The sequence below is a fragment of the Homo sapiens genome, chromosome 4, assembly GCF_000001405.40.
Source record: "Homo sapiens chromosome 4, GRCh38.p14 Primary Assembly".
Classification (NCBI taxonomy): domain Eukaryota; kingdom Metazoa; phylum Chordata; class Mammalia; order Primates; family Hominidae; genus Homo; species Homo sapiens.
This window is the reverse complement of record NC_000004.12, coordinates 25,826,358-25,848,645: the sequence shown is the minus strand read 5'-3', so window position 1 is coordinate 25,848,645 and position 22,288 is coordinate 25,826,358. Positions and strand designations below refer to the sequence as shown.

General features: G+C 43.0%; 1 protein-coding gene across 9 annotated transcripts in view, besides 2 other annotated features; it reads left to right on the top strand.

Moving 5' to 3' along the window:
* SEL1L3 (SEL1L family member 3) overlaps positions 1-22,288 on the top strand; it is a 149,603-nt gene that overhangs the window by 14,921 nt on the left and 112,394 nt on the right. For all 9 annotated transcript variants that reach the window (XR_007096387.1, XR_007096388.1, XR_001741182.3 and 6 more), the window contains exons 2-6: positions 782-1,352; positions 13,323-13,449; positions 15,077-15,198; positions 15,536-15,651; positions 18,490-18,548. Coding sequence is in view for 5 of the 9 variants with exons in the window: in NM_001297592.2 (NP_001284521.1) it covers positions 782-1,352; positions 13,323-13,449; positions 15,077-15,198; positions 15,536-15,651; positions 18,490-18,548 (995 nt within the window). In the remaining 4 variants the exon portion in view is untranslated. The remainder of the gene's footprint in view (positions 1-781; positions 1,353-13,322; positions 13,450-15,076; positions 15,199-15,535; positions 15,652-18,489; positions 18,549-22,288) is intronic.
* Positions 2,445-2,739: a silencer, noted in NCBI's record as "tiled region #8438; K562 Repressive non-DNase unmatched - State 15:Elon". NCBI's record gives its function as "represses a minimal TATA promoter and a strong SV40 promoter by Sharpr-MPRA in K562 cells {active_cell/tissue: K562}" and the evidence as "EXISTENCE:reporter gene assay evidence [ECO:0000049][PMID:27701403]".
* Positions 4,345-5,113: an enhancer, noted in NCBI's record as "H3K27ac-H3K4me1 hESC enhancer chr4:25845155-25845923 (GRCh37/hg19 assembly coordinates)". NCBI's record gives its function as "activates a minimal SCP1, AML or CMV promoter by ChIP-STARR-seq in naive H9 embryonic stem cells {active_cell/tissue: H9 hESC(naive)}" and the evidence as "EXISTENCE:reporter gene assay evidence [ECO:0000049][PMID:30033119]".

Here is a 22,288-nt window from a genome sequence, read left to right as displayed (position 1 = left end):
CTTTTTCTATTGTGTTTTGGATACTTGAATCACAAAGTCATATTTAGGAGAGCTCTTAGCACTCACATATCAGCACCTCATGCTCAAAACCTTGCATTGATTTCATGACCAGATAAATAAACATTCAGCTAAAATCCTTCTTGGTGCATGTAGCATTGTCTGTGGTGAAAGAATCAGACAACACAGCCCATCGTCTGAGCTTACTTGTGTGTGACCAGGAGCAATAGAAGCCTCTTGCCTGTCCATATATCATGCAGGCTTGCCCTGGCTTCAAACTTATGGGAGAAAAAGGGGCCAGGTTGGCATCCCTGTTATGTTCCCTCGAGGGTGCACTTTTCACTTTTCTGCCACCCTTTGATTTGGTAGTGTCTGACCCACCATTTAAAGTCAGGACAATGGTTTGAAAATGTCTGAAGCTGCATTGTCTCTGTTTTATTCTAAGGCAGGTTCCCTTGCTACTGGATTTGTTGTGAACCAACTTCTGCCTTTGAAAACCAACTCTGGAATTATTGCCATGTAGATGTGACAGTCACATTCTGATCAGCAGATGTTACTGTGTCTGGGGAGAGAGTTTAATGTGGCCTCATCTTCCTTTGTATTTGTGTGTTGGTTTTTCCCCAATTCTTCAGTAGTGGTTTTGACATCTTTTATCTCCCGCATTCATTCATTGCTTTATGTAGATTGATATTTTTTTATCCCAGGAAAATAATGATTCAAGTATCTGTTATGATGAGGATTTTTAAACTTTCTGTATTTCTTACTTTCTTTTTCTTTTTTTCAGAATGTTGTACCATCTTTGGGTAGGCAGACTTCCCTGACGACATCAGTGATACCCAAAGCTGAGCAGAGCGTGGCTTACAAAGACTTTATTTATTTTACTGTCTTTGAAGGAAACGTTCGCAACGTTTCTGAAGTCTCGGTTGAGTATTTATGCTCTCAGCCTTGTGTTGTCAATTTGGAAGCAGTTGTTTCATCTGAGTTCAGAAGTAGCATTCCCGTGTACAAAAAAAGGTGGAAGAATGAGAAACATCTTCACACCAGCAGGACACAAATAGTACATGTGAAATTTCCAAGCATTATGGTTTACAGAGATGATTATTTCATCAGACATTCCATCTCTGTATCTGCAGTGATAGTACGCGCCTGGATTACTCACAAATACAGTGGCAGAGACTGGAATGTTAAATGGGAGGAAAACTTGCTCCATGCTGTAGCAAAGAATTATACCCTCCTGCAGACCATCCCGCCTTTTGAACGCCCTTTCAAAGATCATCAAGTGTGCCTTGAGTGGAACATGGGTTATATTTGGAACCTTCGGGCAAACAGGATTCCACAGTGTCCTCTGGAAAATGGTAGGTCATCTATCTTGCTAGGAACCTAATTCTCATTTTTTCAGATAGCCTGTATCATGATCGAATGGCAAGAGAAAATTCTTCTATTAGCGAAGGGGGATACAGGGAAGATGGAGGGACACAATGAGTCTGTAACTTTGGAGTTTGAAGACAAAAGGAGAAAAATTAAAAGGGGAAGAGAGGAGAAAGATTAGGAGAGAGCAGGACCAAAGATGAAAGAACAGAACAGAGGAGCTGAGGAAGGTGGACTTTGAGAGGGTTAGATCTGCTTTAAGCTGGAAAGGAGTATTCATGCCACCGAAACAAGGATTGGGAAAATCTTCCCACTCACCTTCCAACAAGCCTGCTAAAGTTTCCTCTTTTTTTTTTTTTTTTTTTTTTGAGATGGAGTCTTGTTCTGTTGCCCAGGCTGGAGTGCAGTGGCGAGATCTCACTCGGCTCACTGCAACCTCCGCCTCCCAGGTTCAAGCAATTCTCCTGCCTCAGCCTCCCGAGTAGCTGGGATTACAGGCACCCACCACCATGCCAGGCTAATTTTTGTATTTTTAGTAGAGATGGGGTTTCACCATGTTGGCCAGGCTGGTCTCAAACTCCTGACCTCAGGCGATCTGCCTGCCTTAGCCTCCCAAAATGCTGGGATTACAGGTGTGAGCCACCATGCCGGGGCCTCTATTATTTTTAAGCAGAGTGTTTTATCCTGGAGGAGATGAGAACCTAAAGGAACCCTTCCAACAGAAAGGGAGGTTGTACCACAGAATGGTAACCTCTGGCTGGGCCTGATTCCTGTCCTGCCACTTTCTATCTCTGTAACCTTGGAAGTCTCTGAGCCTCAGTTTTCCTATCTGTAAAATGGGGATAACAAGCAGTTCCTTCAGAGCAGTGCTGTGAGGACTAAATGAGATGTGATTGCTCAGCACATCATCAGCACTCAGTGAGAAGCTGTGATGATGATAGAGTCCACACTCTGCATTTTATCCTAAATGCCACATGGTCACAGCCTCAGCAGGACCAATCCCGGAGGCTCCAAGGCCCTTCTGCAGCCTCCCTTAAGCCGTGGGGCTGGAGATCTCAGGCATGTGCTGAGAGGCGGCACTCTGAAGTTCTCTCCATTGGTGCAAGGAGCGCCTTGCTCTGTGGATGCCGAGTGCCTGCCAGCTCTTCTTCTGCCCCCTCAGTGGGGAGCCCTCCCCACACATGCGCCCAGTTGTTTCCTCAACTGTGGCCCTAGGACCACCTGTGACAGAATCACAAATGCTTGTTGCAAATGCAAATTCCTAGGCCCAGTCCTTCATCTACTTAGTCAGGATCTGCGGGGGTGGGGGAAGGCTTGGAATCGGCATTTTAAACACCTTCCTCACGACTCTAATGCACCCTAAAACTTGAGAACCTGTGGGCCAGGGACAGAGCTGGTTGGACTTAGGATTGCTATGGTTCCCGTGTCCCGACCCCCAGCCAGGCTTGGCAGGCAGAGGACATCCATGGATTTGTGGCAACAGACCCTTCCACAGGAAGTGCCTGACATTTCATCAACAGGATGGGTTTGGGACAAGGTGACTTAAGGACATGCACTCTAAGTTTTTCCTTTAGTGATCAATTTCTTGTCATCTCTGGGATGTGATTTCTGTTGGGCTATCTTTGGGGGAAATAATGACTGTGGCGATTTCTTGGTACTGTCCCAAAACAGCTCTGCATATAATGAAAACTGAAAGGACCTGTGTCACCATACATGATAGTTGGTCAGAAGCCACTTACCCTAGAACTGGCACATTTGATATTTTTCAAAACTTTTTCTTGTTTTGAGACAGGGTTTCACTCTGTTACCCAAGCTGGAGTGCAGTGGCACGATCATAACTCACTATAGCCTCAACATCCTGGGCTCAAACAATCCTCCCACCTCAGCCTCCTGAGTAGCGGGGACCATGGGCATGTACCACCACACCCAGTTTATTTTTTTATTTTTTTGTAGAGATGGGGTCTTCCTATGTTGCCCAGGCTGGTCTTGAACTCCTAGGCTCAAGCAGTCCTCCCACCTTGGCCTTCCAAAGTGCTGAATTAAAACTATTTTGAAATAAGTATAGATTCACAGAAAGTTGCAAAGGGTACAGGGTCCCTGTGTATCCTCACCCCCGCTTCCTCATTTTCCATAACTACAGTGCAAAATCAAAATTGGGGAAGTAATGCTGATCTAATACTGTTAACTGGACTCCAGACCTTACTCAGATTTTACCACTTTTTACAGGGGGTCCTGTGTTTGTGTAGATCTATACAATTTTAACCTACATTTTAATAACCCTGTCTGTCTGGTTTATTCTGCATTTGTGCAGTGCTTTAAATGAAAAGATGTCTAGAAGATGAAAGTAAATTCCCTTTCTGTGTGTGTGCACATAGTGGGGAGGGTGGGATGGGTAGTTAAATGTCTGAAAGCAGTCAAGTCAATCATTTTGATGATCAGTGTGCCTCCCTCTTCCAGGCAGAGCCCCATGCAGGCATCTGTCTGGAATACCTTCCACAGGGCCACCTAATTTGTTAAGGGGAAGATAGCGTGGGGCACACACAGCCACAATTTGCTGTACCTCCGACTTTGTCAGGGATTAATGATTCCATTTCATATTTGACAAATCATGTATTTCTGATTGAAGAATGACTGAATTGCAAGCTGGAAGTTTCCAAATGAAATCATTTAACGAACTGGCTCAGTTCTTAGGGCACCTGAATATGCCCTTAAAATGTGAAACGTCTTTTCCTTCTTTTGTTGTTTCTTCTCATATTCACAAGGCTTAGGAACAGCACAGTGGGATTTTTCTCCTCACCTGCTTCAGAGCATTACCTTAGGAGTGAGAATTAAACCATAACGCAGAGAAAACCCTTTCCCAAGAGTTAAAGTCACTGAAAATGGTGGGGAGCTCCATGCACCCTCAAAATAAGCTCTGATTACAAGGCTGTGATTTGTTTACCGAAAAAGGGGCACACATTCTTCCTTCTCCAAAAGACAGATCACAAGAGGGTCTGCAGCAGTCCCATGGAAAACATCCATGACCTTTGTTCTGGATCTGGGCTGTGGGGATAGAAGGGGGCCAAGCCTCTGGTTTGTTCTTAGCAGGGGCTTCTTGATGAACAAGAATCAAGTCAGAACAAGATGGCATTAGTGAGGCTCCGAGCTGAGCCACAGGGGGCCTGTCATGTATGGTCCCTGTCTCAGCCAGCACTGATGTGGGGTTTCAGGGAAGGTTTTCTGTGTCAAGTGCCTGGTGTCCTACGATGGCCCTGCCTCTGAACTGAAGTACTCCCTGACTTGCTTTCATTTTCCTTTTCATGTATAAAAAGAGTCAAAGTCCCTGTGCCCGGGCGTTCTGGAAGTGTGCTTGGAGGGCCTCCATCGCTGGCTTTGCCAAGGCTCCCGAGGCGAGGGCCACGTGTGTCCAGACACGGCTCTCAGCAGCTTATCTCCTTTGCCAGGCCAGACCCGGCCAGGCCATGAGGCTGATTTTTGGTGGAGACGCAGCAGACGTTTACCCAGCCCTGCAGGGAAAACCTAACCCAGATGAGAAGTCGGTAGCCATTGGGAACACGTGTGTGCCACGACTCGGCCACATGCCCCCGGTGCACGTGTTACTGCTGCATTCTGGGTGTGGGGGGCATATGTAGCCATAGGCAGACTGTGGATCTACCTAATGTGGCTTATTTCCTTGAGGGAGGGGACTGGGCGTTTCTGTTGTCCCTCCCAAATCACATGTGTGCCTGACTCACGCTGGAGTCACAGAAAGAAAGGAATCAGCCATGCAGGCCAGTGACTTGGGCCCCAGACCTGGGGACCCACCTGGACTTCTCTTCCTGTCATACTCTATTTTGAGAGTCACCTAGTGCTGGCTGTATGTGTCACATATTCAGTCCCTTCTTGCATTTCTCACCACGTGGAGTGCCGTCATCCTGGTCTAAGCCGTCATCCTCCTGTCTGGACTCCTGGCACTGCCTGCAAGTGGCCACCCAGTTTTGCCCGTCGTACCCTCCTCACCCCCCACCAGCAGCCAGTGCAAGGTGATTGCATCACTGCCTGATTAAGCCCCCCAGTTCCTCCCATAATCCACTGATCCCAGTTAAGATCAACCCATGCCCCTTACTCTGTGGGAATCTGTCCCTGTCCCCTTGCAGCCTTGTGTCCCACCACGCACACCCTTCCCCACTGCTTCCAGCCACAGGGGCCCGCTTGCTTCTCCTGGAGCATACCAAGTTCATTCTCACTTTGGGACATCTGTGTGACTGCTCCCTCCACCTAAGATGCTCTTCTCCCAGATCACCACATGGCCACTTCCTTACCTCACCTACCCCTCTGCTCCAATGCCATCTCCTTATCTAAGACAGCAGGCCCACCCCCACCGCCCTGCCTGTCATTGTCCACCTTCATTTTCCTTCCTGGCCTGATCACCACTGGACAGTTTCAGTAAATATCTTTAGTTGCCTATGTGCCTATTTCCTGGCCCACACTGGAGCACAAGCTCCATGAGGCCAGGGGACTTGTTTGCTTTGTTCTGATGCTGATCATAGGCCCCTGCACTCATGACTACTTGTTGATTGAATGAATGCTCTTAACCAAGAGGGAAGGACAGTTTGTGAACATCACACACTGATACCCTTGCAGGGCTGTGTTGCCACATGAGGGAGGGTGTGGGGGTGGAGGTGGCAGTGCTCCTTCCCTAGGGCCACTGCACACACTCCACAGCTTCCCAGACAAACCCACCAGGGCTGCGCTAGTTAAGGCTGCAGGCTCCTCCTGTTCAGGGATTCTCCTTTGCAGCCACAGGTAAGCTCAGCTTCCCCTTTGTGGTTTAAGTCTTTGATTCCCCACCCCTATGTCTTTGCTAAAGCAGTTTCTTTTCCTTAGAATAGCTCCTGTTCCGCCCCGACTCCCCCTGCCCACGAAGCAACACCGCCCCCCACTGCCACTTTCCATGTCTGCTTGGCAAAATCATGCCCCTATTTCAACAGCCTGCTCAAATTTCTAACACTTTTCTAGCCCCCACCCTGAAGTTTTGTTGAGTTTTTTTTTTTTTAATTTCCACAACCAGAAATTAACTTCATAAATGCTGGCCATCAGAATGCTGTGTTGGTACTGCTCCTATGACACGTATCATGATTCATTCAATTAAACAAAGATTGACTGAGCACCTACTATGTATCAATTTCTTTACTGAGTGTGGAGGCTTAAAGATGAGGACAAAGCCACCCTCTTTAACATGGCTACCAATAGTTACAGTCACTTACTGCTACTGAACATTTGCTATGTGCCAGGCACTGTCAAAGTGCTTTATGTGGTTTACGTGGTTATCTAATTTTTTTGAGACAGGGTCTTGCTCTGTCACCCAGGCTGGAGTGCAGTGGCGCGATCTCAGCTCACTGCACCCTCCGCCTCCCAGGTTCATGCGATTCTCCTGCCTCAGCCTCCCGAGTAGCTGGTGTTACAGACACGTGCCACCACACCCAGCTAATTTTTGTATTTTCAGTAGAGATGGTGTTTCGCTATGTTGGCCAGGCTGGTCTCAAACTCCTGTCCTCAAGTGATCTGCCTGCATCGGCCCCCAAAGTGCAGGGATTACAAAGTGCTGGGTGAACTACAGCGCCTGGCCCGCTGTTATTTAATTTAATATGCCCAATATTCCACCAAGGAGAAAACAGAAAACTGACTCAGAGAGATAGAGTAGTTTGTCTAAGTTTGCACAGCTATTAATGAAGATGCTGGAGTTTGAACCTGGATAGTTTGGTTCCCAAACCCCACACTTATTCATTAGGCTAAACTACCAGGTGATGTCATGAAGCTATTTATTTATTTTAAGTCATTCATTCACTGAAAAAAAGTTCCTGAGCAATCTGTGTGTGTTAAGCACTTTGTGTGGCTTCTTCAGAGGAGGTGACATTTTGACAGAGACTTGAAGGATGTGTAGAGTTTTCATGGATCAAAAAGGAGGGGCTGGGTGCAGTGGCTCACGCCTGTGATCCCAGCACTTTGGGAGGCTGAGGCAGGCAGATCACTTGAGGCCAGGAGTTAGAGACCAGCCTAGCCAACATGGTGAAAGCCCATCTCTACTAAAAATACAGAAAATTAGCCAGGCATGGTGGCATGCATCTGTGGTCCCAGCTACTTGGGGGGCTGAGGTGGGAGAATTGCTTGAATTCAGGAGATGGAGGCTGCAGTGAGCCAAAATGGTGCCACTGCACTCCAGCCTGGGTGACAGAGCAAGACTCTGTCTCAAAAAAAGAGAAGAAGAAGGAAAAAAAAAAAAGGAATGAAAGAAGGACATTGAGCTTTCAGGCAGAGGGGAAGGCATAAGCTGTGGCACACAAAGGAGAAAATTCCGGATTGGGAAATGGTGATAAGCCTTTGTTCCTTGACGGGAAAGATGGCAACAAGGGCTTCATCTCACAGGCTAGCTTGTGTTGCTTGGGGGTGGCTGCCTAGAGCATGGTGTTGAGTAGGATTCTGAGGATGAGTCTGCACTTACTGAGAAAGAGTGCCATGTCCATCAGTTACTGTCTGCCATGGAGTGGAAATGTGGACTAGCAGCACACTTGCTGTGGTTTATTTTCCAAGGTATAATCTCAGGTGTGACATGGGCAATTCAAGAAGTAAGACTGGATAAGCAGTTTAGGAACACTCTTGGAAGGTTCTTAAATGCCCTAATGTTTAGCTTTATGAACACTTCTCTGATCTTCCCTCTTAAATAAGAAACTCTGGGGCAACATGGCAGTTTTCTTCTTCTCCACTCTTTTCGTTTCAAAAATGCATTCTCATCTTCAGATCCAATGGACTGGAAGTATGATTTTTTATAACAAAATTTCATTACAACAAAATGATTGAAAGTTAAGTCAAGTGTTGGAACCAGCCTTGACTTGTCTTTGTGAAAAAAAATGGTTTATGCAGCAGGACTATTCAAGTCAATGTCATGATAGTACTTTTAGTAGTTATAAACTATATATTTGGCATTAAAAAAAACAGACCTAGTTCCTTTTTTTCCAGTTAATCATGGTAGTCTGAATTTTTCAGTAATAACACTAATTAATGCCTAGCATCTACATTCCCCTTTATGATTTTTCGAAACACTTTTTTCACACACATTGTCTCATTTAATCCTCATAATAGTACCATGGGAAAGACAGTATTATTCTCAACCTTTCTTTAACAAAGAGGAAAACCGAGGCTCAGGGAGTTTGTTTAACTGGAGTCCAGACTTCCTGATTCTTTTGACTTTGCTATGCCGCCTCTCTGAAATATGCTAATACAGTCCTAACCCAGGTTCTAAATTAGAAAGAATACTTTTTTTAAAGTTGAATTTTTATCGATGTGAATCATCCTGTTTTCTTCACCCACTGGACTTTGTGTCTTTGAAGCGGATTGGGCAGACTTGGAGGCCGAGGGTGGGGAGGCCTTGGGATGTAGCTGGCTCCTTCTATATGCCTGCCCGGAAGTGCTCAGAGCTTTTGTTCTTTTCTTTCGTAGACGAAAAAGTAATACGTGTACACGGTAACAATAAAAAAATTTAAATAGCGTGAAAAGGTTTAGGGGAACGAGTAAGTTTCCACACCCCTCCCCCTCGAATCTTCTGGTCCTTTTCCCAGAAGTAAATTCATTAGCAACAGTTTCTTGTGTTTCCTTCTAGAAATGTTCTCTGCACATACAAGCGTTAAGTTGTGTCCCGTTTTCTTCCTGCACAAATGAGAGGATTCTAGAAACAGACCTGCGCTCATTAACAATACAGTAGATTTTTCTGTACCAGGACATGCTGCCGACCTCATTCTTTTCAACAGCTCCTTAGCGTTGCATCGCCTGACAGACCGTAATTTATTTAACCTATCTTTTGCTGATGATCATGCTGTTGCTTTTAACCACAAGGCTTCACTGAACATCCCTGTACATGTATCTCTGTGCACACTCATAAGCATGTTTGGAGGATAAATTACTAGGAGTAGAACTGGTTTTATTCTTAAGATTCCTGCCATCGAATGTTCCACAGACTTCCTTAGGAACCTGCTTCACTGCCTAGTATCCTTTCTGGAGGAAGTTCTGACCTAAATCATATCTGCTAGAAAATCGAGTTTTTATTCTCAGACTTTGGCTTTAAAGAAAATTAAACACCTTATTGGCCACTGGCTTTTGAATGTCCTGTGTTTGGAAAGCATTATTGAGCTGCCTGTGCTCTGGCTTTATTTCTCCAGGTTGAGAAATCTTCGCTTCTTTCCCCGCAGATTTTGCTTACAGACTTGTAGTCATTGTGATTCCTTGCATTGAGACCATCTTCAGCTTCTCTGAAGGTGGGCTGATGATCTCAGTGGCTTCATTGCTGTGTGTTCGAAGCACATCTGGAGTGGGGTTTTGTTACACAGAAGTGTTACCTTTGTTACGTGGAAGTGTTACCTTTTCCCAAGCAAGGGATCTGTGTCAGGGTTCTGATCACTCAGCTGAACCAGAGAATGGGCTACATAATCGTCCCTTAACCCCACCTGACCCAGGGATGAGATTTAACATATTTAACAACCAGTGAGGGGTGGGGGCCTCGGTGAACTCCAGTGGGTGCTAGCCTTAGTGCTGAAGCCGGCTCCAGAGGCCGCTGTTGGGCCAGGCTCTAACTTGAAGGAGGGGCCAGGGTGGGTGGCGGGGCCTTGGAGGTTCAAGGTGACATCAATTATCAAACCAAAATAGAAATATTTCAGTGTTTTAGCAACCAGTATATCCGCACAGGTCATGCCCACTGAATATCAGCCGAGGTTCTCTCTGGGAGGACTTGTGAGAAGAAAAGCCCATTGGTTTGCAGTGGGGAGGCCAGGTTTGAGTCATATTAGAGCTTCTTCTAGCTATGAAATCTTCAATAAGACACTCACACTTTTCTTGTCTCCAAATGGAGGGGTTTGCACCATATAATATCTGTTGCCTCTTCTTGCTCTAAAATTTGAGGAAATAATACAAGCAAAACAGCAAAGGGTTCCTAACATCAACTGTTTTCCTGGCATTCTATGTTTATGTCTTAATGGTGTCTTTGTTTGTTTGTTTGTTTAACCTAAGCTCTTCATGCAAAATAAGCTAAAGAAATGAATGTGGGGAAAGGATTTGAAAGAAGAAAGGTCATTCTTTGGCTTACGCAGTGTGGTGCACATTACAGAATTGTGGACAGTACTAGGAGGAAGGGAGACAGGTTCAAATCCTGACTTGGCCACACCTATATTCATTCATTCATCAAATATTTATGGGGTCTTTATCAAGTACTGCACACTGTTCTAGATTCTGGGGATGGAATAGTGAATAAGTAAGGCCCCTGCTTTAATGAGTACATCCTAGAGGCAAAGCAGTAAACTTCTTTGGACCTAAGTTTTCCTACCTGTAAATTATTTAGTGGTGGATGGCACTGGTATTGTTGCTACCCATTCCACTGCCCATGACAAGACATCACTAGTCAATTATAGCATTGCACTCAGCCATAACCAGTTATTAGACAATAGATCTATATGTTATCCTGATAAATAACATATAGGATAAATAACATATCCTATATGTTATTCAGATGAATTTTAAAGTCTTCTCCTGCTCCAAAATTAATTCTTGTTCATTACCTCTAATTGTAATCAAAAGACAGTATCATACTGAGGGCAAACTGCACTAGGAATCCAAATTATACACATCGCAAAGCTACAGATTTGAAAGAAAACTACCATTACTTTGGTTTTGTTGGGTACAAACGGTATGTGTTCTTGTAAAATTATTTTAGATCTTTGGGGCTGAGCTTTTTCCTTCATAATCTATTGCGGCAAGTTCTCCCGTTTGACCTGCTTTATTTTGGTCTTTGGACAGGGAAGAGCTCATTGTCATTCACGTTTAACTCTTTCCACTTTAGAAACCTCCTTTATGAAGCTTTTTTTTTTAATTGGAGTCAGGTTGGGCAGAATTGAATCCCATTTGTTTTGACAAATGTTTCCACTGCACACTAGATCACTCAACAGCCATCACCAGCAGAAGGCTTCCTAGGGGTCTAACGTGGCCATCTGGTCTCTTCTGCTCCACTCAACATAGTGGAAGCCAAACCAAAGTTGAGCTGATGTCAACTTCCTTGGTGAATTTTTCCTTCAGATTCCAAAGAAAACCTTTGCAGTACTTCCATTTCTCACCCCTCTCACCACCCCCGTCATAGACCAGCAAGTCCAGTGGGCCCAAATTGAGCTCAAATTGAAAAAACAAAGGGTTTCAAGTGCTTCTGTTGAAATTGATAACTCCACTCTTTTGGATTTCCAAATGCATCTCTACTTGTAACAAACCATGAAGATTTGTGGCTACTGGGGAGAAATTGGCTTATTTAATCTTATTAAAATACACAAGGGCCTGTGATTCTAAAAACTGCTCTTACGATTTCCAAATTGTAGTAAACCAGAGGTACCTCTCTATATAATAAAACTTTTTATTTCCTTTGGGAAATGAGAGCTGGGATGTCCAGCATCCTAAGCTGAAGCCCCCATAATTTGTGCCGATATTGGTGTTTGATGGATTGCACATAAATCAACTCTTCTCTCTCCAAGAGGCCCAGGAAAATAGACTGTTCCCACCATTTAATCATGAATGTCTAAACTAAGGAGTATTTTAAGCAGAAGAAAAGTATCCCTTTTTTTTGAGATGGAGTCTTGCTCTGTCGCCCAGTTTGGAGTGCAGTGGTGCCATCTCAGCTCACAGCAACCTCCGCCTCCCAGCTTCAAGCAATTCTCTCGCCTCAGCCTCCCTAGTAGCTGGGTTTACAGGCACGCACTACCATGCCCGGCTAATTTTTTTTTTGTATTTTTAGTAGAGATGGGGTTTCACCATGTTGGCCAGGCTGGTCTCGATCTCCTGACCTCAAGTGATCTGCCCACTTTGGCCTCCCAAAGTGCTAGAATTACAGGTGTGAGCCACCACGCCCAGCCAAGAAAAGTATTCTTATTCCTAGGTTGAGTTAAGTGGATTCTCTTTTCTTTAGTTGGGGAGAATAGGGAAAACCAAAAATTCATACTTAGGCTTGTTGAAAGTGTTAGGTATTAAGTATAGATGAAATAACTCAGTTCTCCCTTTAAGATTTGTTGTGAACATCCCTATGCTTTTTAGAGCTATAGAGAAGAATTCTTTCGTGTTTGTGAAATAAAATGGAAGACTTTCCAATGTTAAGGTATATGGTTAGTAATTTTTATGTAGGGTAGTATGTTGAATTTACTGTGGAAAGTTTGCACAGAAGAAAAAAAACTGCAATTTTAAGAGTATGGATTCTGAAACCAAAGAGCCTGAGTTTGAATCCCAGCTCCATCTCTTATTTAACCCTCTCTGATGCTCAGTTTTCGATCTGTTAAATGAGGATAATAAAAGAACCTATTTCATAGTTTGTTGTGAAATGAAGTGAGATTATCCCTGAATTGGGCTTAGCATATTGCCGGTGTACACTAAATATTACTTACTATTTTGGCAACCGTGCCTCTGTTTTCTCATCTGTAGACTGGGGATAATAATGAAAATGAAATGAACAAATTTATGTAGCACATTTACAGAAATGTCAGGACCATAGTGAGAACTACAGAAGTGTTAACTTACTGTTGTAACACAAATTCAGATACTTTTCTTAGCATTCAGAGGGCAAGATGTGAAATGATTATGAACACAGAAGCCTGAGTTCAGAACCTGAATTGTGGTTCTATCACTTATTAACTTTGTGAACTTAGCCTCGGGCTTTTCATCTGTAGAATGGAACTAATAATAGAATCTACTTCACAGAGTTGTTATGAAAAGTAATTGACATGGTCTCTGTAAAGTGCTTAGCATGGTGCTTGGCATTTATTCAACAGATGTTTGCTAATATTTTTAGGGTATCTCACTTAAATGTTTGATTGGAGCTCAGCAGAGGCTTTCAGGATGAATGTGGTTTGGGAAGGAATGTTTTTCTGGATATAATTGAAAGGGAGCCATTTTGCTGTTTGCAGATGTGGTTGCCCTGCTTGGCTTTCCTTATGCCTCCAGTGGAGAAAACACAGGCATTGTCAAGAAGTTCCCGAGGTTTCGGAACCGAGAGCTGGAGGCCACTCGACGCCAGAGGATGGATTACCCAGTGTAAGGATGGGTAGCAGAAGGGAGCTGATCGGGCGGTGCTTGTTTTATTTGAGGACCAGAGCAGGCTAGTGGAAGAATTCCTTAGGAAGACACACCTTCTTGGTAAGGTGTTTTGCAAAAATGTTGAGATTTCCATGGCTTAGACAGAATTGGTGGACCTGAAAACCTCAAATGAGTCTTGAATTATTCTTGGCATTTAACAATCCTCAATTTGCCTTAGCCTCCTTACATGACAACGAGTAGACAGCAAGGTGTTGAAGCCTGAGGCCCTGCAAGGTCTCAGGTGCAGCCAGCCAAAGCCAGCACACATTGCAGCCTTGGCTTTGCCTTTCTGTCGTGGAAGATTGGACGAGCTGTTTGAAATCTCACAACTTCTGATCTCCTCCATTGATTTCAGCAAGACCCAGATATATGTATTTTTTTTCCTTCTGCTGAATTGAAGATGCTGAAAATGGTTCCTGGTTCACCTCATACCAGATGGATTTAGCAGAGTGATTTAATTCTTCCCATGCTGCTGGCTGTAGAAAGATCTTGAGTCACTTTACCGAGCGTATGTTCTTGCTAAGCTTCCTTGTAATAACTTATCTTCATGAGCTTGCTCAGCTGGGTGGGTCAGGAGGGAGCTGTGTGGCACCATCTGTTTGCATATCATACCACTGATTTTGAGGCCAGATTATAAAGACCAGAAAGGACTTGTGTGTATCTGCAAAGAACCTGGGGCCACTGTCACTTTAACCCAAACTGTAAATTGGTTACTGGGGTAAATGAAGAGAAATCAATGCATTCATTTTGACCTTGATCCATGTTTCACATACAAAATGTAATCATTCCCACTTCCTCATCTTTGAACTACTGGTCAGTAGCATTGTGTGCGGTATCAAGGGGTGTTCAGTAAGTCTTTTCTGAATGATTGATGGATCACATATCTTGGCTAAATGTGTCCTGGTTAAGTTGGCTACTGGTATTTTATCCTCACTCTACAAGTCACAGATGTACAATATTTTTTTCGACTAAAATAGCCCCAGTCCAGGAATGGGATAATTAGATTAATTGTTCCGTATTGGTCAGCCAGGACCGTGATACTGAATAACCTAATCTGAGCATGAAAATAGCATATATGTGTCCCTATTATCACATAGTGATGCCATTTGTAGATGATTACATTTTTCTACCTTATGGCTTTTATCTGTGAAAGGAACAAAATTGCTCAAAAGGCTCTAATTATGTTTTTTCTTTTAACATAGAAATTAAAATAGCTTCTTATCATATCACCTCTTATTAAAATCCAGATTTTTTTAATCTATGTCTGACTTTGTAAGCCTTAATCAAGAATTCAAATAGCAGGCATGTGAGATTCTCAAAGAGGCAGAGAAACAGAGTTTTTGGTGCAAGGTAGAAAGTCTGCTAGTTTTGTACAATGAAGCTTAACTCCTGTCTTTTGCAGTTACTTTAACTACCTCCTTTGTTTCAAAAATCAAGCTTTGCAAGCTGATCTCCCATGATGAACGCGAAGGCAAATTCATCCATTCATTGGAAAGAAAGCAATTTACTTGGTCATTGTTAACCATAATTACCTGTTCTTGGATGATATCAATCTGCAGAATTTTTTTCCCCCTCACTCTTATAGGTTTACTGTTTCATTGTGGCTTTATTTACTCCATTATTGCAAGGCCAACCTCTGTGGGATTCTGTACTTTGTTGACTCTAATGAGATGTACGGCACACCTTCTGTATTTCTTACGGAAGAGGGTGAGTATAAAACAGAACCTTTAAAATGATATTGTAATTTTGTAATGCTCTGCCTAGTGACAGATATGTCTGTCTAGAATAAGGAAGATCCTGTCAACATGGCAGCCCAGCAAGAGCAATGACTTCCAAATGTGGGCTTCAAATTTAACTTCTTTCCCAGAAGCTTAAACCCAATGTCTTATTTACAAAGAAATGCATTTATAAATGCGTGTTTGGGTTTTGCTTTGTTTTCGTGGAGTATTGTAGCTTCTTAGGACAATTGTTGAAAAGGCCTAGCTACTTCATTCACTCGTAGATATTTTTTGCTCATTTTCATGTGCTCGAATTTTCCTTTTAGGCTATTTGCATATTCAGATGCATCTTGTCAAAGGGGAAGACCTTGCTGTAAAAACTAAATTCATCATACCTTTGAAGGAGTGGTTTCGACTGGATATCTCTTTTAACGGAGGCCAGGTATCTGTATGCACGCTTCATCACACGACATACGAGCATTTTCGCTTAAAGTTAAGCATTGCTATAAAGCCGGGGAGCAACAAAATCTGCAAAAGCAAATTTGTGGTAAATGATAGACTCGTTACAACTACACGCTTGCTAAATCAAACTTTCATAGATGGAAGTTTAAATCATAAGAATCCCATCCCATTTAATTAACTTTTAAAGTGCTGCTTTTGACTGTAGGGTGAATGAATAAAGCATACAGGCAGCTCTACAGCCATACTGATCTGAGCAAGTCAGTCCTTTTCTCCTGGGGAGATAGGCTTTGTGGAGATAAATGTTAAAACAATATTGGCCATGTTTATATAGTGTAATCAGATGTACAACTTTTTTTTTAAGGAAATGGATTGGTTAGTTCAGCCAAGAAATGATTTGACTGCTTTTGGCAAGTGAAGCAATTGCTTATGTTTGGCATTAAACAGACCATAATAACCAACACACATAAGTGATAATTCAGGTGGGATGGAGGGTCTTTATCTACTTTGTAGTATAAAACATTGTACATAACTGCTTCAAACTCTCATAACATGAATTTTATGGATTATGGCAAATCTGTTGTTCTAATTGAAGACAGTTCTATTTCTCAATATACACAGTGTGGGTTTGCCACCTTTTTCTGGTTGCTTTGTTTTCTCATCAGCTTTTCTTATTGATCTGTGATTTTTCCTGTAACAAAACTGGAAGAGGCATTTTGTTTGTCTTGTGGATGAGATGATGCACAGTCTTCCCTTGGTGTTTAGGTTGATCACATTTCCTTTTTCTGTAAGAGAAAAGAAATCAGGTCAGTCCTTGCTGCTTTCCTGAGAAGAGTCTGTAAAATGTTAGCTGGGATTCTTAGTATGTGTGTTTGTTTACTTAAAAATGTTCAGTGACATAGCGGTGGTCCACATTTTAGCTTCCTATGTATGTGAGAATTATGATGGCCATAATAGCTTGGTTGATGCTTTCTCTTACGGAGAAGGTCAGCTCAGTGCTGTTGTCCCTGAGACAACAAATCATCAGTGCAGATTCACAGATCTTATTTTGCACCTACTGTATGCAAGGCACTATGCTCGAGTTGCTTGTAGACTATTTGTGGAAGTAACATTAAGCAGGTAAAGGACTGTCACAAAGCGAGCTTAGTTGCCAGATGATAGCTGGGTGCGGTGGCTCATGCCTGTAATCCCAGCACTTTGGGAGGCTGAGGAGGGTGGGTCACCTGAGGTCAGGAGACCAGCCTGGCCAACATGGTGAAACCCCGTCTCTGGTAAAAATACAAAAATTAACTGGGCGTGGTGTACGTGCCTATAATCCCAGCTACTTGGGAGGCTGAGGCAGGAGACTCGCTTGAATCCGGGAGGCGGAGGTTGCAGTGAGCTAAGATGGCGCCCCTGCACTCCAGCCTGGGCAACAGAGTGAGACTCTGTCTCAATAATAATAATAATAATAATAATAATAATAATTATTATTATTATTATTATTTAAAAATAATTAATTGCCAGATGATTTGTATTGATTCCTAGAAGGGAGATAGCATTTTATGCTGGAATGCTTAGGGGAGGTATCATGAGAAGATTTCTCTGGTTGGACAGGATTTAGATGGAGAACGGAGAAGAGGGTATTTCAGCATGTTATTGGGGGTTAGCAGACAAACTAGTTTGACTGGAGTAAAAATTTATGGACTATAGAAAGCTAATAGAAGGGAAAATACGTATTTAGGAGTAGAATGCAGAGAATCTTGGATATCAGGGAGTTTAGACATCAACTTGCAAAGCACCATAGAAGATTTTTGAGCAGAAGATTAAAAGTAGTCCTTTAATGAAGGAGATAAACTTAGTGGTGGAGTACATAGTTGAGTAAAGCAGGAGAGAATTAGAAAGACCAGATAAGTGGGGGCAAAAAATTTTTTTTGGTGTGTGTAGACTTTAGCCCATTTGTCCTTCTTCTTTCTATTCTATCTGGTCTAATATATACAGGTCCCAAACAACACATAATGCTTCCCACCCAAAATCCACCTCTGTGATGGGACTAGCATAGTCTGCCTTGACTGAATGTATAAGTGACTTAAATGGTTGGTTTAGGCAAACAACTGGCGTGAGACATTTTCTTTTCTGAACCAACATGTTGTATGGCTGAATTGGGTTGGTTTCTGGTGGGTTAGTTTGTCTTTCATAGACCAAGTGTCGTAGCCACGTCTTTGAGACACGCCCTAACACTTACTCTGTGGTGGCACTAGCAGAATGTAAGTGGCCCCTTGAGTCGAGAGGCTTATTATGTTGGAGTCCAAGACATGAGAAGAGCCCATATGAGACAGCTAACAGCATTCATGACAAAAAATAGTGTCCCTGTTAAAATGAGAATGATGATTCCCAGTGCTTAGGGAAAGGGAGGTGGGAACAGCAGTGTGTGAAGAACATACAACACCAATCTTGTTTTCCCCCTAAGGCTCTGATGGAATCAGAGCAAGATTTTAAACACTCCTTGTAGTGTCATACATATTTCCTTGTCTTTCTACACAACAAGCGTTTAAGGACAAATACATCAAATGAGCCTTTGGCTTGGAGTTTGGAAGTATCTGAAACTTGGTGGAAACTGCATTGTAGATATTTTTAATCACATCAAGTCACATTTGGGGAAGTTAAATGTATGAAATCTTAAAATATGCACAGGGCTAGTAAACTGTTAATTTTATTTTTGCAGAAACTGATCAGGTAAAAGACTCTCCAACACATATCATGAGTAATTTACACAAAGGACTGCATAGGTAATGTAGGGTGATGAGGCATAACTGATTCTTGTGTATCCCTCCCATCATAGATAGTAGTAACCACTAGCATTGGACAGGATTTGAAAAGCTACCACAATCAGACCATTAGGTAAGTGCGATTTTTCTTTTTATTCAAAATTTGCCTGCATGCGAGTTAAGGAATCTTCATACTTTAGCCCTCAGCCCTAATGTTATTCCACATCTCTTCATTCAGCTTTTCCAAGCATGGATTATTCTCTGCCCTGTAGCTAGTCTTTGTACTTTTTTTTTCCTACCATGCACAAACTCTTTCTGCTTCCCCCACAACCTTTTTTTCTGAGCAAGAAAAACTAGTCCTCTCTCCAGATCTCATTGTAAATTCTTCCTTTCATGGCACTTTATAGTTCATTTTCTTTGAAAATTATCTTCTATGAAGGATTCTGAAAAATAAATCAAAGTATTAGTGTTGCTTATTGAGAATGGTTGGTAACTTTGGCCTCATATAAGACATAAAAGCAGACAGTCTTCATATTTATGTTTATAATCTGGATTTGAAATGTATGCAACTATTGATATTGGTGTCACTTTTCATCTTTATATAACCATTCTCTACAAGAGTTACAGAAACTAAGAACTGAGTTTCCTGCCTGTGTTTCATAATTTTTTAATTTACTTCTACATCCACGTATAATCGTGGGTTTTATAGTGTCAGAACCATGGGGCAACCTTCATTAGGAATTCAGGATACCTTGCCATAGCTAGATAATATATGTATATAGGTGGTCTCTGACCCAATGATGATTTGATTTGCAATTTTTTGACTTTACAGTGGGTTTATTGGGGTAATAAATGCATTTTGTACTAATGATACCTTCAACTTACAATGAGTTTATTAGGATGTAATCCCATTGTATGTCAAAGAACATCTGAAATTGAAGGCTTAAGAACAAGTGTAGGCCAGGGGTGTTGGCTCACGCCTGTAATCCCAGCGCTTTGGGAGGCCAAGGCAGGTGGATTACTTGAGGCTATGAGTTTGAGACCAGCCTGGGCAACATGGCAAAACTCTGTCTCTACTAAAAATACAAAAATAAGCCTAGCGTGGTGGCGCATGCCTGTAACCCCAGTTACTCAGGTGGCTGAGGCACGAGAATGGCTTGAACCCAGGAGGCAGAGGTTGCAGTGAGCTGAGATGGCGCCACTGCACTCCAGCCTGGTGACAGAACAAGGCTCTGTCTTAAAATAAAAAAATAAGTGTAAAGATCAGAAATAAAAATTAACCAATTTCGCATGTATAATTTTAAAAAATGCATCAGAACTTTTAGGCACTTTGTCTGGGATGAGGAGTGTTTTATTCTTCGAGTCTGTTATTTCACTGCAGCAGGCAGAATGCTGCCTCTCCAAACAGGCTGGGGATACGCAGAGTCCCGCACAACCCAAATTCTCTTGTATGCTGATTATTAACGAAAGGGAAGCAAAGAGGGGCAGACACAGAAATAGAGGGCCATATATGCTACTTAAAAAAAATAAATAAACTCTTGGCCCGGCATTTTACAGGTGGTTCACACCTGTAATCCCAGCACTTCAGGAGCCAAGGTGGGTGAATCACATGAGGCAAGGAGTTCAAGACCAGCCTGGTCAACATAGTGAAACCCCCATCTCTACTAAAAATAAAAAAATTAGCTGGTCATGGTGGTGCGCACCTGTAATCCCAGCTACTTAAGGCTGAGGCACGAGAATTGCTTGAACCTGAGAGTTGGAGGTTGCAGTAAGCCAAGATCCCACCACAGCACTCCAGCCTAGGTGACAGTGATACTCTATCTTAACAAAAAAAAAAAAACGAAAAGATAAGAAAAGAAATGCAGAATCTTGGGCTTTGCTCCAGAGCTTCTAAATCAGAATCTGCATTAAAAAACTAAAAAAAATTAAAAAAAAATTCCTGTTTTCACTTGAGTCCATCTGATTTCTTTTAGGCTCTGGGCATATAGAACAATTCTTATTTTCATGGCTGGATTAAAGGATTAGAGTTTTATAGAAAGGCTAAAGAAGTGTTATTAGCCTGCAAAGAGAGGGTGCGGGTGGCTTAATAGCTGCATTGAAACATAGCGGCTGAGGCCTAGGGAGAGAGCACATGTCTTCAAGAGCACCGAGGTAGATTCAGATCAGCCAGAAGGCGTTCAACACATAGGAGTGTTGTTATATAACAGGTGGCTAGGAGATCTTCTCTGAAAAGTTCAAGGACAGTGAAGCCTGGGAGCTGTCTTTGGAGAAACAGATGATCTGAGTCAGCTTTGGAGATCAGATCTCCATGTTCTGTGAAATGGGCTCTGGCCAGAAATTAAAGGTTTTTGTTTCAGGACATGAAGTTTAAAATAAGAGCTTCCTCTCTCTCCCCTGAAACCCACGTCCAGCTCCAGGACATTTTCGACCACTGGTTGAATTTCATAGGCTCCTTTTCATTTTCTTTGTAAGAGTTTCCTTTCCTCTTCAATCCCAGAGATCTAGAGGCTGATATGAGTGAATGGGAGAAAGAGTGGCCACAGAATGATCCAGGGCTGGGGCCGGGGTGAGGCAAGTGAGCCTAAAACTTAAGGGGGTGCCAGAAAGCTCAGGGATTGCATTAGTTTGTTGGGGCCTGCCAGAACCAAGTGCCAAAATGAAGTGGCTTAAACACAAAAATGTATTATCTCAGTTTTAGAGGGCAGAGGTCCAAGATCACAGGGCTGGCAGGGCCGTGCTCCCATGAAGGTACAAGGGACAGATTTGCTCCCGGTCTCTCCTGGCTTCTGGTAGCTCCTTGGCTCGTGGCAGCATAACTTCAGTCTTCACATGGCATCCTCCCCATGGGTGTGTCTGTGTCCAAATTTCACTTTTTTATAAAGATGTCAGTCATATTGGGTTAGGGGCTCACCCTACTCCAGTATCACCTCAATTTAATTACTTATGTCTGCGATCACCCTATTTCCAAATAAGGTCACAATCTGAGGGGCTGGAGATTTGGACTTTGACATATGAATTTGGTGGGAGGAGGGGTACACAATTTAACTCAACAGTAATCATGATAAGTAACATATTAATATGATGTTTTTAAAAATCAAAATGAATGCAGAGAATCTATGATGAACAAAATATTAAAATTTTAAGTAAAGACATAATCAGTGTAAACATAGAAGGATCAAGGGATCAAGACTGATTTGGGGGCACACACCAACTCTACATCCCAATTGAAGCATTGAAACAATTTCTTAGTAAAAGTGGCAGTACTCTGGCCTGGCACAGTGGCTCACGCCTGTAATCCCAGCACTTTGGGAGGCTGAGGCAGGCAGATCACTTAAGTCCAGGAGTTTGAGACCAGGCTGGGCAACATGGTGAAACCCCAACTCTACTAAAAATACAAAAATTAGCCGGGCATGGTGGTGGGCACCTGTAATCCCAGCTACTCGGGAGGCTGAGGTGAAGGTTGCAGAGAGCCAAGATTGTGCCACTGTACTCCAGCCGGGGCGACAGAGCGAGACCCTGCCACAAAACAAACAAACAACAAAACAAAACAAAAAACAAAACAAACCAAAAAAGCTAGCCGTACTCAGACGCAGGAGTGCCCCTCCCCACCACCCCAGCTGCCCTGCCTGTACTCCTGAGACCTCCCCATCAGAGAAATAAGCAGAGGTAAAGCTAGTCCCAGAGGGAGCTGTCCAGAGTCCCCCGGGGGTTCCTGTAGTCAGGTATTTGGAATCTCATCCCTGCCAGGAACCCCACTTTTAGAGTGGGCCAAGTCAGTGAACTAAACATCAGATATTTCCAGTTTACTGGTTATAGGTGTTCCCAGGCAAGGCTCTTACCCCTCCTTTTTATTTGTTCCTGTAACGTAAACAT